At 41.0% G+C, this 17440-nt stretch overlaps 1 long non-coding RNA gene across 1 annotated transcript; it reads right to left on the reverse strand.

Annotated features, from left to right (window-relative positions):
* Positions 1-1940: 1940 nt before the first annotated feature.
* LOC105370987 (uncharacterized) lies at positions 1941-3527 on the reverse strand. The gene is made up of 2 exons (NR_188300.1): positions 3468-3527; positions 1941-2311 (listed from the first exon to the last, which is right to left on the reverse strand). It is a non-coding gene; the product is annotated as an uncharacterized LOC105370987 (long non-coding RNA).
* Positions 3528-17440: the final 13913 nt, after the last annotated feature.

Genomic DNA, 17440 nt, shown 5'->3' on the forward strand with positions numbered 1-17440 from the left:
AGTAGAGCATCTTGATATAGAACTTTATAGCCTACAGAGCTAAGAGAAAATCAATTTCTGTTGTTTCAACCACGCAATCTATGGTGTTTTGTTATGGCAGCCTTCACAGACTAATACAACCCGAGAGAAATTCTTTAGGAGTCTGACTCCTATAGAACTAGTTAAACAACAGTGGATACATTTTAGAATTAAGCTGAAAAAGGTCCAGATATAAATCCTGTTTCTTGTAATTAAAAGATGTGTGAATTTTGGCAAGTTACTTATCACAGCTAAAATTTCTCTATCTGTGCAAATACAAATATGCCTTCTCCTTAAGATTGGTGGTGATAATTTTTAAAAAGTTGTGTTTTGTACATGTAGCCTAGCACCTGGCATGAGTTGCTATTCATTAGGAAATGTGAAATCTTTTCCTTGTCCTAACACCACAGCAATGTATCTAGACTAAATTCTGTCCCACTGCTTCCTGAATGCTCTTGAAATGACTAGGCAGAGAAAGATTATGGGCACCTTCATGTTTATGTTAGATAATATTTCCCAGAGGTAACACTGCTGGGTAGAAGTATTAGTCTAACCTTTAGACCTCTTGCCAATTTAGCTCCAAGTTATAAAATGGCTCACTTAATTTTGAACTTAAAAGTTCCAGAAACGATGTCCAGCTCTACTCTCCCTCATAGGAGACTAACACAACTTCATTTATTTCATCTTCAAAAAAAATCTGTGAGATATTTATATCTTCTCCAATGTATGAGTGGGGAAAATGAGGCTGGGAGTGTCTAGGGGACTTTCTCAACATCACAGAGCTAGCAAATGGCCTCATAGAGATAAAAGTCAAGTTGGCTTGAAGGTGAAGTCCCTACTCCTTCCCCAACACTGCACTGTCGGCTATAAAACTTGAAGGGTGTTTTGGGACATAGCTGGAGAAGGAGGGAAATGTTTTCATGAGCCAGACTCTGACGATTGTGTTCAGCACATTTCCTAAGGTGGATTTTCTGCTCTGTGTCTGCCTTTCATTCAGCAGCATGTTGTGAAACAGCCACAATTTAGCCCCAGGTGCTCTTGGCTGAGAATGAGTTCTTAGAAAGCTGGCATGGATGTTTTTTTTCTGTCCCACACTTACAGTAATTACAAATAAGGGGTACTCTATGTGGTTGCTCCTACCCTATAATTTTGTTTTCAGTTGCCAAGATTAGTAAATTTGAGGTACAATCACTGGGTTGGATTGCAAACCTAAAGTTATTTTTGCTGTGAATTCTCTGAGGTTACAAGTAAATTTTAAAATGTTTGTTGTTGCTATAGATCAGTTTCAGAATTTGCTAGCTTAACTTCATCTTTCTTCTCTCTCTTAGTGTATTTCTGGAGTCCTTTGCAGAAGATCATTTGGGTTCCTTTTTGTTTTTTCTGTCTTTCTTTCTTTCCTAAAGTCAAGCTGAATTGAATTATATAAAGACTTAAGAGCCAATGCTTGTGAAAAATCTATAGTATAATTATCTTAAAAGTTGACCCCAAAAAAGCTATGCCAGCATTCATTGAAATATACATGTTTAGGGTAGAAAATATTAATATCGTAGAGATAATCTATAAAGCTAGAAGACATGTGGAGTTAAAGCAAAAATGCATTAGCAAGATTTGAAATGCAAACTTTGAGATTGAAGATATATACCATTCAATCCCTATTAAATGAATTTGCAAGTCAATCCTTGAACTATCATGTATTTATGCAGTTCTAATGAAGTATCATGGATTTAGCTCTGTTCTGTCAGAGAAGGCAGACCAGTAGCATGTAGCAGAATCTCAAGGCTTGTGAGGATAAGAAGGTGGCTAAATTAGCTTATTCTCACAGGTCTTGAGATCTTGACTACTATGAGAAGATGCTTAGGACATGTTTGTTAAATGAGGGTCAACTTGGTTGTAAATATAATCACATGAACGAAACAGTTTGGGACTTTGTAATATGAATATATTTACAGGTTGCAAGGAAGAGAAGATTCAATAAAATGAATTTTTAAAAGTAAAGAGAATGTATCTCTTCACAAAAGAGAAGAGTTCAAGGGCATGGTTGGCCTCAGGTAAGCAACAAGCCTCAGCAGGGACTCAGTTTCTTTTTCCCCACAGTCTTCCTTCCATGATGTTGCCCAATTCTTAGCTCTTGATTGTTGGTGGGCACGTGGCTGCCAGCAGCTCCTGGGACTGCATGTGTTCAGCTTCATGGTCAGTGATACACAGGGAGTCTACTCCCCTGAGAACTCAAAAGAAAACCCCTAGGATTGACAAGTGTTGACACAAATTTTGTCATGGACCCATCTCTGTGGCCCTGCGGATAAAACGGATAAAATAGTGTAACTGGCTTAGCCCACATCAATCGCCTGCTCCAATTCTGGGGCCAGATTGTGACATCTACTCCTCCAGAGTGAGAAAATGGCAGGTCCCTTGAAGAATCAGGGTACAGTTGTTGCAGGAAGGGGAATGAATATTGGATGAGAAATACAATAAATGTCAAAGGACGTGCCACATATACGTTGAGTGCTATAAGCCTTCAAGGAAGGGAAAACCAACCAGGCCAGGTGTGGTCAAAGAAGACTTCACAGAGAGGCCGTATCTGGAGGGTAGATGGTATTTATTTAATTTTACAATAAAGATATGAGTTATTTTGTAAAAACTTTGTAAGAAACTTGGAAAATAGTCCAGGCTCCGTGGCTCACGCCTGTAATCCCAGCACTTTGGGAGCCCGAGGCAGTCAGATCACGAGGTCAGTAGATGGAGACCATCCTGGCTAACACGGAGAAACCCTGTCTCTACTAAAAATACAAAAAAAAAAAAATTAGCCAGGCGTGGTGGTATGCACCTGTAATCCCAGCTACTTGGGAGGCTGAGGCAGGAGAATGGCATGAACTCAGGAGGCAGAGCTTGCAGTGAGCCAAGATCCACCACCACTGCACTCCAGCCTGGGCCATGGAGCAAGACTTGGTCTAAAAAAAAAAAAAAAACCAAAAAAAAAAAACCTTGGACTTTCAGCGTGTCTCTCCCTGAAGCTCAACATGCCCCATAACCTTGACTCTGCAATGAGTCTCCTTCTTCACAGCCACTGTTTTCTTCACTGAGGGCCTTGCATGAGTGGTGGAGAAAGAAGACTGATCATACCCCGATCCCTACACTATCTTCCGGAAAAGTGGATTCCATCCTGGCAACTAAAGAGATGGCGGAATCCACTGTTAAGACTCTTCAGAGTCAGGAGCAGCAAGACATCAAGAAGACCCAGATATTAGCGCCATCTTCCTCACTATCTATACAACCCTGTAAAAAATGCACTTCACTTGTTTGACTTTTGGTTTCCTCAACTGCCACACAAAGGGTGGAGTACATGACCCTGTGAGTTTCTACTGGCTTTTAGAAATTAAGAGCAGATGAGTGTAGGAATTGCAACCTCAGTGCCTTGCAGAGGAGTACCCCTGAACATTAGACATCCTTACAATGTAATGGTTCATGGAGGAATCTTCATCTCCTGTCTCCTTGGTTCAGTCTCCCTACCCCTCCTTTTACATAGGTGTTTTTGAGTCAGTCTGGTATTGTGACATCACAGCTTGGGTAGAAATCCTGGTTCTCTCACTGAGGAGCAGTGGAATTTTCAACAAATTTGTTAATTTCCCTGAGCTTCTGTTTTCTCATCAGTGACAGGGGCATCCTAACATCCCCACAGAATCTCAAAGGGACTATGAGGCTGAAAGAAGCAAGGCATATGGAATGCCTCATCCAGCGATGGGTGCAGAGAGGTGATTTGTGTCTTATGTCCTATAATTCTGATGCTTTCAAAATGTATTCTGCATATGTGTATGTTTGTGTGTGTGTGTTTCTAACTTTATAGATTGCATCAGCACATACTCGTTATCTATGTCATAACACTTTGTCCATCTTTCCTACTGCCCAGTAGAAAGCTAAACACACAAACAGAGTACCTTGATATTGATCAATAGCAATGATATGGCCAGAAGAATAAACATTTCTGCCTGCAGAGAATAGGATCTAGACAGAGTCATGTAGGGGTTCTGCTCTGCGCCTACCACATGACTTTGAGGAGTCATTTAACTATGTCAGTATTCTAGAATATCAGTGTTAAAATAGGAGTGACAAGTGTTTTGAGGAGTCACGTCAATAAAGAACAGTGTTTCATACATAGCTGGAAATGCAGAAGTATAAATTATTAATTCATCTTATAAAGATTTTTCACAAGACAAAACTCCAAGTCTTCTCCTTCTACTAAGTCTTTTAAATCCCTTTTCCACAGCACTCAGGGATTTTCTGCTCACTAACGGCAAGTCCTCAAGGTGATCTGAGAAAGGCATCTTGCAGACTGGGAGATGGAGAAGCCTGCTTTCCCCCATCAGCCCTGTGAGCTGAGACTACACTACATGACACACACACACACACACTCACACACTCCAAGAAAATAAATGACTGAGCGTGGGTCTCACACGTGCCTATGCAGACACCACCATAGTGACCCCAGATCGTTCTCACTTCCAAGTCCCATGCAAAAAAGAGGAGGTTCTGAGGCTGTCTCAGGCTTCCAGCAGGTGCGGAGGAGGCTCTCACACTCTGTACATCCCGAGAACTCTGTTTCCCTTCCATTTATTTCTGTGGCACTGACTGTGTGTGCAACGAGCCGTGCTGCAGCAGAGATACCCCAGAGAAAGAGGAAACCCGTTGAGCTATTTTTCACCATTACATACTTCACTTCCTAATAAATGAGATCCAGAGCATGCAAACAGCCAGTCTTGTAGATCATCATCTTAGGGAAAATCACAGACCTAACGCAGCACAAAGTAAAAAATAAATGAACCCAGAGGAGAGTCATTCTGCTGATATTTGAGACTATAGCTCTCTTCTCATAGCATTCTATTCCTCTCTAGAAGTTTTTGCACCTCAGAAAAGTATCAGAGCTCTAATGTTAGTGGAAAAATAAAATAAAACAAATGCTAGATTCTTCTCTGTCCTTATGCCAGCTTATTTTCACCTCTAGAAAGAGATTGGTATGTGATAGTAGAGAGCAACTCAGTTGAGACCAAGTCCTGTTTCATGGGATTCAGTCTCTGGTGATCCCTGGGTAAGTGGCATGAATTATGAGGATTTCATCAGCTACCTTTGCCCAGCAGCATACCAGACTATATTTCAATACTGTAACAGAACTTGAGCAGGTGAACATGTGACCTACCTATCCCTGGTCTGCAGAGCTCAGGTATGCTATGGTGCCTTGGCTTCCACGGCTCTCTTCCAGTCTGTGTGCTTTTTCTTGGTCCTCTGGCAGAAAAGCTCCACATTTGGATGCAACCGCAAGTGTTGAGGTCACCAGCACTGTTCACTGTGTCAACTAAGGGAATCAATGGACAGTAATACAATCTGTCCGTGTCCACCAGGGAATATAATATTTCACACAGAAAATAGCAAAATACTCCCACGGCCCCGGGGCAATATCCTGAAGTTGTTTGAGGTGAAAGAAAATAAGTGTCTTTTGGGCAAAAGAATGTAGACTCTTTAGCAATAAACTTGTGCTGCTTTCATCTTATGGCATCTGAATACTTATTCTGATTCATTCCAGGTGAGAAAAGGACATGACTCTCCCGGGAACACAAGTGTGTGAGATTTCCTTGCCCACTTTTTTTGGCCTTAAAGTCATCTGAGATGATGAATTAGTCTTGCCAAAAGCTTATGATTTTCTAGTCAATTTTAAAAACTTTACCTAGTAGATCTTCAATCCTCTAGAAAACTCATGATGCTCTTTCTCCTGAGCAGGGTAACAGGGATTGCAGAGATAACAAAATTATCTCTGATAACCTTCATCATACCACCCTTGCTCTCTCGGGCCATTTCGATACTCTCGGTGAAGCTGAGGGGTATCAGAGGAAAATCAAAGAACTATGACTCGAGAAACCAGTTCGAGTCTTTATGATTTCAGGGAAGTCGTCTTACCATTCTGAGTTCCACTTGTATATACAAAATGGGAAATAACATTTACTCTGTGTAGGTCTTGGGTTTGTCGGGAGGAAGATTTGGGTAGAGATTGTTTTGCTGCTTCTGGGCCCAGAGAGGCACAGCATTTCCTAGTCTTCCCTATGGTTTGATCGGGCCGCATGACTTCTAGCCAATGGAACAAAAGTGGAAGAACGTGGCAGTTACAAACCTGTCCTGAACATTCAGAGGGGTGGCTTGGGAACAGTCTCCAAAGATGCCATACCAATGTTTGACAGGACAGCAGTAAAGCCACCCACCTTTAAATGGACCACATAAGCTTTTTGTTTTGTTTTGAGACAGAGTCTCACTCTGTCGCCCAGGCTGGAGTGCAGTGGGGCAATCTTAGCTCACTGCAGCCGTGAACTCCTGGGCTCATGCAATCCTACCTCAGCCTCCCAAGTAGCTGGGACTACAGAAACACACTATCACACCCAGCTAATTTTTGCATTTTTTGGAGAGATGGGCTTTCATTTTTTGGCTAGGCTGGCTTTGAACTCCTGAGCTCAAGTGATCCGCACGCCTCAGCCTCCCAAAGTGTTCGGATTACAGGCGTGAGTCACTGCCCCACATAAGCTTAAGCAATGAGAATCTTAGCTGTCATAATGATGGTCTACAGTCCAGATAGCATTCTGCCATCCCCACTGCCTTGATCCTTGGGTACCTGCACAGAAGTGCAGGGAAATTCCAGACAAGACGGAGATCTAATTTCTCAATTTCTGGAGAGTTCAAGCACAGAGTCAGAATATATTTGATTTGTAAAAACAAAAACAAAGCTGAAAATAAACAAAGAAACTTAAAAACCTCCCATGACTGACCCGCCATTCTGTTTCCCCAAACACTGGCTGAATGCAAAGGTTTTCAAGGCCCCCAAAGAGGACAGAGTTATATGTAAGGAGTCTGGGTCCCTGAATCCCCATGAAGAAGGCTGTGTCACAACCAAGAACACCTGTGTTGGATGTTTACAACAGGGAAAAGAAAGGCATTTTTATGTTAAGTCATACAACTCTCAGGGCTGGGTTATTTCATTAGTTTTGTTTTTTTTTTTTCCCAAATTGCTTTTACACTCTATTATACTATTGGAAATTGTAAAACGCTTTATGGAGGAAGGACAAACTGTTTACTTCATGTTCTCAGTCTCAGAGGAATAGAAGGTAGACAATTCCATGGAACATTCTGTTCATTCCAAGCCTTACAATCCTGATGCTGGACATGACCTTCTTTGAAGTTGTCCTCCAATTGTGGGCAGCTATTTTTCTCTCAAAACTATGCAATTCAGGTAATTGAGTTCTCAATTTTCTTGCATCAGAAGTAACCCAGGGGCCGGGGGCAGTGGCTCACACCTGTAATCCCAGCACTTTGGGAGGCCAAGGTGGGCGGATTGCCTGAGGTCTGGAGTTCAAGACCAGTCTGGCCAACATGGTGAAACCCCGTCTCTACTAAAAATACAAAAAAAATTAGCCAGGTGTGATGGCGTGTGCCTGTAATCCCAGCTGCTTGGAAGGCTGAGGCAGGAGAATTGCTTGAACCAGGAAGGTGGAGGTTGCAGTGAGCCGAGATCATGCCACTGCACTCTAGCCTGGGTGACAGAGTAAGACTCCGTCAAAAAAAAAAAAAAAAAAGTAACCCAGGACAGCCAAAGTCTTGGGTGGATTAGGGATTTGTTGGTTTTTTTTTTTTCCTTATTTCTTCTGTTTTTCTCAAGCTTCAAAGTGTAGTATCTGACATAGTGTGATATGAGCTCCTCTTTAAATATTTTTGCCAGGTGAGGAATTGCTGGAACATCCCATATTGTCAGTAATGATTTTACATTTGTCATTCTTAGCAGGTAGACTGTCCATGGGTTGTGTACCATTTTCACATTCATTTTGGATGCTATTTAGGGTATTATTTTTACTCAAGGGCAGGCATTGGAACTGAGCAGATTATTTATTTTATACACTTTAAACTATTTTGAGCTGTAAGGGATGTTAGCCTTGACCTAGAAGATTTCAGATGCAAAGCCTCCTTTATCAAAAATCTTCTCTTTACGTGAGTAAAGAGTAAGAGGACTTGGCCATTTTCCTCTGGTTCAAAGACCCATCTCCCAGACTTTTGTCCACAGGTAGTCGTAGATGCCTTCCTCAGGCTTGAAAATTCTGGTTTGGTTAAACTTTCTGCTGTTCAGATAAAAAACAGCAGCAATTTTCTGCTTGAATTTCTCTGTGACTAAATCCATTGATCATCCTTTCTCTCTGTGAGTGAGAAGTGTGTTTTCTCCTTAATAACTCCTATTCTTCTCCCTGGGTTATTTTTTCCCCTTCACTTGTTTGTGTTGTGTTGGTCAGTTCTACATGCTATTCCTCTGAGAGACAGAGAGAGCGCAAAATTGAAGTTATTTTATGCTTGGGCTCCCTCGGTCCCAATTTTCAAATCTTCATGTCAATTTTCACACATCAATGTCATGTGGTGAATGTTATGGAAATTTCAGTGGGGTCCTTGGGAGGCAATTTATACATGAATCCCTCCCCCTACCACCATCCTGCTGCAATTCCTGTCTTTTCTCAGAATAAGTGGATCTATAATTAATGTGGATTTTAAAATATAACGGCATTCACAATTCTCATAGCAGGTTTTCCATGCCATGCCTTCTTTGCAGTATAAACACAAAAGCATAAATGCTTGCTAGCTCTCTCTCCTAATAAATGGGCTTGTGTAAAAGAAATAAAAATTACAGTTTGTTGGCGGTAAAGAGCAACTAATTACTCAGGAAGAAGCATGTTTTTATTTTTCAAAACTGCACTGAAAATGGTTTATCATGCAATAAATTTGCTAATCACCAGTTAGGAAACAGAGTGCCATCTCCACCTACCCACAGCGACTTTCTTTGAAAGTTAGTATGTTACAGTTTGGATAGCAAATTATATCCTTTTGAAAATGAACATGACAGAAGACGTTCATTGAATAGCTTAAAACTCCTCAGCAGTCAGCGTTCAAATTGCGTAAACAAGAGCATTCTTAATGGTGCCCAAAGATAGCAACCACTGACCCTGGCTCTGCTTCGCGAGCACACCATCCCTGACCCGTTCGATGAAGATAATCATCGTTTTCTTTTGCTCTTTCTCCTTTCACAGTGAAAGTGGAAGACTTTCAAATGTAGAACACAGGGTCATCCTCCATGTTTTCTCTTTCCTCCAAAACACCCTTTTTCTTAGCCCTTTGACCTCTGACATCTATAAATGTTGATTTCTAATTGATTTGTGTTGATTTCTTTTTTTTTTTTTTTTTTCAGAAGAATCTACAGAATCACTTTCTTACCCAGAAGAGCAGGAGCTCAGCTTGGTGCACTTGAGCTTATACCAGCTAATAGCGGGTCCAGTTCTTCCTTGCTACTGGCCTGCTCTCCTGGTTCCAAGGTAGCAGCATTGTTCTCCCCAGAGAGGACTTCACTGAATATGCTCATCAGTGATGTTGGCTGAACTCCCCTGCTCCAACTGTCACTCTCTCCATGACTCTGTCACACGTTCTTCTTAGACTTCTTAATATTAAAAAAGCATCCCCTGGCCAGGCACGGTGGCTCACGCCTGTAATCCGAGCACTTTGGGAGGCCGAGGCAGGCGGATCACAAGGTCAGGAGATCGAGACCACGGTGAAACCCCGTCTCTACTAAAAATACAAAAAAAATTAGTTGGGCACAGTGGTGGGCACCTGTAGTCCCAGCTACTTGGGAGGCTGAGGCAGGAGAATGGCGTGAACCCTGGAGGTGGAGCTTGCAGTGGGAGGGAGGGGGGGAAGCATCCCCTTTATTTGTGTGTTTATTGGTGTATAATCTGGTTCTCCTCTAGAAGGTAAGTTCTATTAGAAGAAGACACCTTTCCGGTTTGATTATTTCTGTCTTACCAGTGTCTACAAGAACATCTGACATAGAATTACTTTTGAAATGTACTGAATAAATCAACAAACGAATGCATGAATGAACATTTTGCTTTTTTATTTCTACCTCACAAAGCAAGTCATTTTTATACCACAATTTAGCTCACCTGCCACCCCTCAGACATACAGGTGTCTAGAGGTAACGCAGCTTTTGGCATAAAATTTGGGAAGAGGTATTCATGGAATATTTCCTTTTGATGAGAAGAAAGCAGCTGTAAATTTTGTGATCATCCTTCCTTTATTTAGAGTGAATGCATTCTGTGGGAAGTTTATCATTAAGGCTGCTTTGTAGTAGAATGTCACCAAGTCACCAGCCCTAGTGTGCAGTGTTCCTACTGCATCGAAGAAGACACCCACTGGCCAGGACACAGGTGTCTCAGAGCAGCCTTTCTTTTTTCCTTTTTTTTAAAAAAATAATTCTTTTATAATTTTTTTAAGTTCCAAGGTACATATGCAGGATGTGCAGGTTTGTTATATAGGTAAGCGTGCACCATGATGGTTTGCCGCACCTAACAGCATATCACCTAGGTATTAAGCCCAGCATACGTTAGCTCTTTTCCCTAGTGCTCAGAGCAGCCTTTCTCACCAGTTGTGCAACTGTGAGCAACTCACTGGCCCTCTTTGTGTCTCAGTTGTCTCATCTGAAAATTCACCATCATAATCCCTACCTCACCTCTTTGCCCAGATTCATTAGAATGAAATGTAAATGGTGTATATGACACTATTTTGTAAACTATCAAGAGCCATGCAAATAAAATACTTTGGTTAACTGTGTGTGTGTGTGTGTATGTATGTATGTATGTATATATATATATACACACACACATATACATAGAGAGAGAGAGAGAAAGGGCAAAGATGCATTAAAATCAAAGAAAATGCTTTTTATGTGGTGATTTTTTTGTCCTCCCTGAGCTATAATAAAGGAAGACAAGAATTTCACCATTTTATAGACCAATAAATTGAGGGCTAGGAAAGCTGTGTTGTGCCCAGCATCATAGACAGCACTGTCTATGTGTGGAATTATAACAGGCCCAAGATCTCTAAGTGATTGGTGCAGTAATTTTATTTCTAGAGTGGTGCAGTAATATCTGATTTTCCTTCAAGAGGGGAACTGGTTTCTGAGCGCAATGCTGCAGTTGGGCCTTGGGCTGAGGTCTTAGCAGGCAAGTTACCAGGAATGGCTCGACATGGTCAAAGAAAGAAAATAGGGTAAGAACAAACCTAGGTCCAGAAAACGAAATCAACAGAAAACCTAAGTTTAGGACAAACTTGGACCAGGAATGGCAAAGGCAAAACACTAGCATCTGGGAAAAGACGTTATTAGATAGGGAGGCAGAGAGTATAGGTAGGATCAAAGCCAGAAAGTCCACAACTTTCTATATCAATAGCTTTGAGATGGCCAAATATGAAGGCTGGGGCTACAATGAGATCTTTATTTAATTAGTGGCCCAGGCTGATCCAAAGATACAGAGGTAGCTATACAAATTATACCTCACCATAGGTTCTTCCATAAAGAAAGGGAGTCTATTATAAGCCTGTAGAACTTCTCATGTAATATGACTACAGAAAGGGAAGAAGCAAAGACAAACTCCTCTAACCCAATGTCTTCACCCAAATGAAGACTTCCCAGAATGGATATGGTACCTATGGGCATAACTTCAAAGAGACAAATCATCTGGGGAAACATTATTTTAAAGAAAGTTGTAAAGTTTCTGTACTGCAGGACTTATCAGGGCTTTTAATAGTTGTTTAATAATAATTGTGGGCAATAACAATGCTCTTTGAATTTTGAAAAGTAGTTCACAATGGATTCCAAGCAGAGTATGTGGTATTTCCTACAGGTACTTCAATAAGGAATATATATTTTTTGGAATATTTTTATGGACTAGTGTTCCACAGCATATAATTTGTATACATTGCTCTAGCTAACCCGCTACATTGATTTAGGTAACTGTTCTGTATACAGCAAATGAAGTAACACTATTTTTGTTCCTTTTAACAAATTTTGTCATTACCTTCACCAGGCTGTAGGTCATTTAACCCTTTGTGTCATTGTTTCACTGTGAAATGCAGGTAGTTTCACAGTGACAGCAAAAGCAGGGCAGTGAGTGAATCGTGTCTTAAACAGAAAGCAGATGTACTTATCTACTTAGAGTTATTCTAGAGTATTTCTGTTTCCTGTTCACATTTATACCCAGGGAAGATTTCACTGGTCCAATGATAGAAACATGGTTAGAATGTGATAGAGATTCTTTTGACTTTATAGAATCAAAGAGGCTTTCTACTCATTAAAGTTCTCACAATAGCATTCTTTCTTAAGCCTGTTTTCAAATTTAGGATCCGGTGTGAATGAAGTTTGCTGACAGTCTATCATTTAGAGGTAGTTAAGCTGCATTACTGGATGTCAAGTTCAGTCTTCTCTTTGCTTCCATTTTGATTCTCCTCCTACAAAATTATTGCTTTGAATACAGGGAGCTGGCCTTTTCCTTCTTTCTTGTCCCAGTGCAGGAAGATGGAATTAATCCTGTTACATGAAATTACAACTATAAGTTCAAAGATCTTAATTCAAAATGTCCCTGTCTTGATTATGGGATAGTCTCTCAGTGGTTTCTTGTTGCATTTTTTTTTCATTTGTAAAATGGTACTAATGCCTCTTACCTACAATATGGACAAAATGAAAATAAATGAGCAAAATGTGTGCTTTAATTTAAAATTGCCTTTAACTATTCTGCCAAACCAATGGAAGCTTCGGATTGATGTTTTACCCAGGCCAATCATCAGTAAAAATAACAGGATGCTGTATAACGTGGTATGTAAGTGGAGCGGACCCAGGAGTCTGATTGACTGGGTCCATGCTGTGCCCTCGTGAGATTTTACACATGCCATTAACCTCTCTGTGCCTCAGTTTTCTTATTTATAAAATGAGGTTGTCATCATAATTCTTAACTCTCAAGGTTATCGTAAGGTGTAAAGATAATCTAGGTAATTATTGTTGCATGGATTAGTAATACTCATTAAGCACACTTAAGCACTCAATAATATTAGCGATTACCATTATCATTTTTCTTGATAAATTTCACCTATCTATTTGTTCTACTAGAAGTTTGTGAAATCAAAACATGTAGAAATAGGTAAGTAGCCCCTAGAGCATGAAAACATTTGTGCTGTTGTTAATACTAAACGGAGAACACAGATGTACAAGTGAAACACGGTGTCTGCTCTAACCTGAGTTTCTATTGACTCAATAAGTGAATTCATTAATTCAGCCTCTAATTTTGAATTCTATGTGAGCCTGTAGAATTTCATGTGACTATGCCCCACCATTTTTTTCTTTTCTTTTTTTCCATGATGGGCAACCAATCAGGACAAATGTAGTAGGTGTCAGAAATAATTCACCTAAATGCATGTAATCTATTTAGACAAATGTATGAGAAACATATCTCTTCTTTTTTTTCCACATGGAAGGACCATCATCAAGTCCTACTTCTTTCCAGCTGGAAGGGCTCACAAACTGCTAGCTTTGCAGGCTCAGCTTGACATCTCCACTTCCAGGCCAGCTAGTAGTCACTGAACATAAATGTAATGAGAGGAAAAGGTGGAGCACAGAGGAAGGGGCCTGTGTGCACAGTGAGAAGGAAGAGACAGGCAGAGGGAAGCAAAGAGAATAATGAGCCTTAATTCCTTTGGCATTGAAGTACCTGCTAAAGGCACAGGGCATGTGCAGCTGATGGCTCCCCTTCCAGAGGCAGGATGTGTCATTTCCCCTGCCCTGAATCCAAGCAGTCTCCAGCTACCCAATAAACTAGAAAGTCCCACCTGTACCTCTAGGACCCTGCAGGATTCTGCATATCGTGGGAGGTCAGAAGGCAAGATTTCATTCTGAAGCAGTCAACCGGGAAAGTTAAACATCTCTGATCATGTAAAAGGGGGAATTGATGTGCTTACTGCCTACCGCCTGAGCTGGTGTGCCTCAAGTGAACTACATGCGGAAGAAGAGACAAAGCCTTCGGTACATATAGAATTATAGACATAAAGATACAGAGACAGACATAAATATATTATCCATCTATCCATCTATCTCTATCTATCTATCTATCTATCTATCTATCTATCTATCTATCTATCTATCTATCATCTACCTATCTTAGTTTGCCTGTTGCCTGTTCATCCATCCATCCATCCATCCGTCCGTCCGTCCGTCCGTCCGTCCATCATTTCTCTTCCTCTTTCTTTGCACCACTGTGAAGCAAAGATCTTTTTAGTCTCAGGTTTAGCCAGCTCATCACAACCAGCTAGCTTGGCCTGCCCATCCACCCTGGACTCTCACTTCCTTTCCAGACAGCTTTGGATCTTTAAGAATGAGTGTGTTTTCTAGGCCTTGCTTTTCGCCTGTTCAGTGAGTGCCGGTGGAAGGGCTGGCATGACAACCCCTTGAGGCTGAGTCTTGTTGATTAGGGGATGGATTCTGAGCAAGCAGCTGTACTTGCACGCCCCGCTCAGTGACCCTTGCCAGTCTCCCTCACCCACGACCTGGAGGAACTGTCTCCTGGGGAAGCAAGGTCAGGCTCGGTGTCCATCAGGCTGTGCTTCTACGAGCTGTGTGATGGAGCATTTTCTGATGTTGACACCCATGCAGGGCGAGCTGGATGGAGGCTGATTTCTGGTTTCACATTGAGCTGTCATCCAAAAGGCCTGCTGCTTATCCTGCCTTCACAATCCTTCCAAGGCCCTGCTGACATTGTCAGCCTGCTTCTCTGGCCGCTGCCATAACTTAGAAACCGGGGGCACTTTTGTTCAGGCTAACGTCTGGAACATTTTCTGAACCAAAATATAGGTATATGAGTATTTCTTTTCTAATGTATAATTTTCCCGAAGTTTTCCTGTTGTAACATGCATTTCTTTCACTGCCCCTTGTACTCATTTTGAAGTTAAAATAAAACATAATAATTAAATGGACTGGAACACTTTAAATGATTTGATTGGCAGGCAAAATGACTGTGTTTAAGAAGCAACTGGGAAAACTTTACTTTCTCTTTATATTGTACTCATCCAGCTCAGTTTTGCAGGCTCAGTCATGTGGGTTTCTATAGTGGCAGATAGTCCAAATAATTCCACTCTAAGGCAAATAACATCATAAGACATGGTCATACCACTGACATTTGAAGCTAAAATGCAAGAGTTGGTGGTCTTTTGAGTACCTAGGTATTTTCCAAATATTGATTATTTTATGAGAATCTTTTGCCACAAATATATACTTTTTAACGTAGTGCTTTCTGAATTGATTTATCTAGTCAGAAGTTGTGCAAATATCAAATCCCCAAGTTATCTTGATGGGGCCAAAATAATACCATATTTGAAACTAGGATTATCCTTAAAAATCCATGCAATATAATGACTTTTAACAGCAAAGTATTAATATGAAAATAATGTCGGCCAGGTGCAGTGGCTCACACCTGTAATCCCAGCACTTTGGGAGGCCGAGGCGGGTGGATCACGAGGCCAGGAGTTCAAGACCAGCCTGGCCAACATAGCAAAACCCCGTCTTTACTAAAAATACAAAAATTAGCCAGGTGCAGTGGCATGTGCCTGTAGTCCTGGCTACCTGACAGGCTGAGGCAGGAGAATTGCTCAAACTTGGGAGGTGGAGGTTGCAGTGAGCCGAGATCATACCATTGCACTCCAGCTTGGGTGACAGGGAGACTCCATCTCAAAAAAAGAAGAAGAAAAAAAAGTCATACTAGTTTTTTGAGTGCAGAGTATATGTGGATTATTTAGTAGATCATTATCTTTATCAGGTAGAAAAATGCCATGTTTATAGGCTGAGTTCAGATCTAGTTGGGTCAGCTAAGAAAGGAAATCTAATAGCCATCTTTCCTTAGTTCCTTAAGTCTCTTCTCAGTCCCTGAGATCAATTACACCCTTGCCTTCATTCTGCCCCTGGCCAAATGATCAGGGATATTGGGCCTTTTCTGCCCAATTGTACCAGTGTCATCCTTCTTCAAGCTTCCCCTAAACTAGCCTAACCACCTTGCAGCAGGAAAGTCCTGGACTCCCCACCCCCAGGGTTTTTAATGAATCCCTGGGCTGTAAATCCCACAAAATAATTGTGATCTTTTATCCCTCTTTTTCCTGTCCTTTATTAGCTCCAGATCCAATCAGAACCTCTTTCAACCATTATTCAGACCTCTACAAGACAATATCCCTCTCACAATTGCTTGTCAATTACCCATTAAAATATGATGTTGACACCCATGCAGGGCGAGCTGGTTGGAGGCTGGTATAGATACACAAAGACTTTACATGCGTAGTCTGCTTACCACAAAAGCCTTACTGCAGAGATGGGGACTGGGATGTGTGTATGGTTTGACCCTCCCTGAAAAATGCCCCAGCCTGTTACTCATTGCAGGGATTAACATTTTGTGTGGTGTGAATCAGTTACATTGGTTTACTTACTAAAAGGTCTTTGACTTAAATAGCCATGTGTAAATATACTTTTTCACATGCACCTGAAACGTACAATTTCATGAGATAGATGATGCTGTTATAACTATCACCTTTTTCCAGATGATAAAACTGAAGCAGAGAGAATTAGTGACTTTTCCAAGATTATGTTGAAAGTGACTGCCTGAGTCAAAGCTAGAGTCCAAGAACAATTTATGCTTTCATTATGACTTTTGAAAAATTATAATCTAAAAGAGCAAAGTGGCTCAGCAATATCTCAATGCTATCTTTGCTACTTACTTTGGTAAGTAGAAGGCATACAAAAAGCAAATAATTCTTTGCTTCCCGGGTGTAGTAGCAAAACTGAACAATTGTAAATCCATTGCTGTACTGTAAATTCATAGTCTCATTTAGACCTCTCATTATAAGTAAAAGGAGTATTTCCCTCTAATTTGTGAATGCGGTAAGTTCAGAGAGGTTAAGAAGTCACCAAAGGTCACACAGCAAGCAAGTTGTGGATGAAGCTGGAATTTGCAGTTAGCCTATCTTTTGCTCTACTCTATTTATATTACTATGGAATATAAATACACAAAACTCTAAGTGTAGTTCAACAGGCTATGGGATGGACTAACCTCATCCATTAATTCTGCCCCAATATTAATTATGACACGTCTTTATCACTGATAGGCTGCCCCAAGGTGTAAAAAGAGACATTCATCACAAGGCACACTGGATGAAAAAGTAGATGTTCAAGCCTACTGAATAACACCCTTCTGAATAACACATCCAATATTAAGCTGTACAAATCAGAAAATATCATAGATTTGTTCTTTATATTCCACTTGTTTTATATATATATATATTGCAGTGGCAGGATCTCGCTTACTGCAAGCTCCACCTCAGAGGTTCACGCCATTCTCCTGCTTCAGCCTCCCGAGTAGCTGGGAGTACAGGCTCCCGCCACCACACCTGGTGAATTTTTTGTATTTTTAGTAGAGATGGGGTATCACCGTGTTAGCCAGGATGGTCTCTATCTCCTGACCTCGTGATCCGCCCACCTTGGCCTCCCAAAGTGCTGGGATTA

Source organism: Homo sapiens, chromosome 15, assembly GCF_000001405.40.
Source record: "Homo sapiens chromosome 15, GRCh38.p14 Primary Assembly".
NCBI lineage: Eukaryota > Metazoa > Chordata > Mammalia > Primates > Hominidae > Homo > Homo sapiens.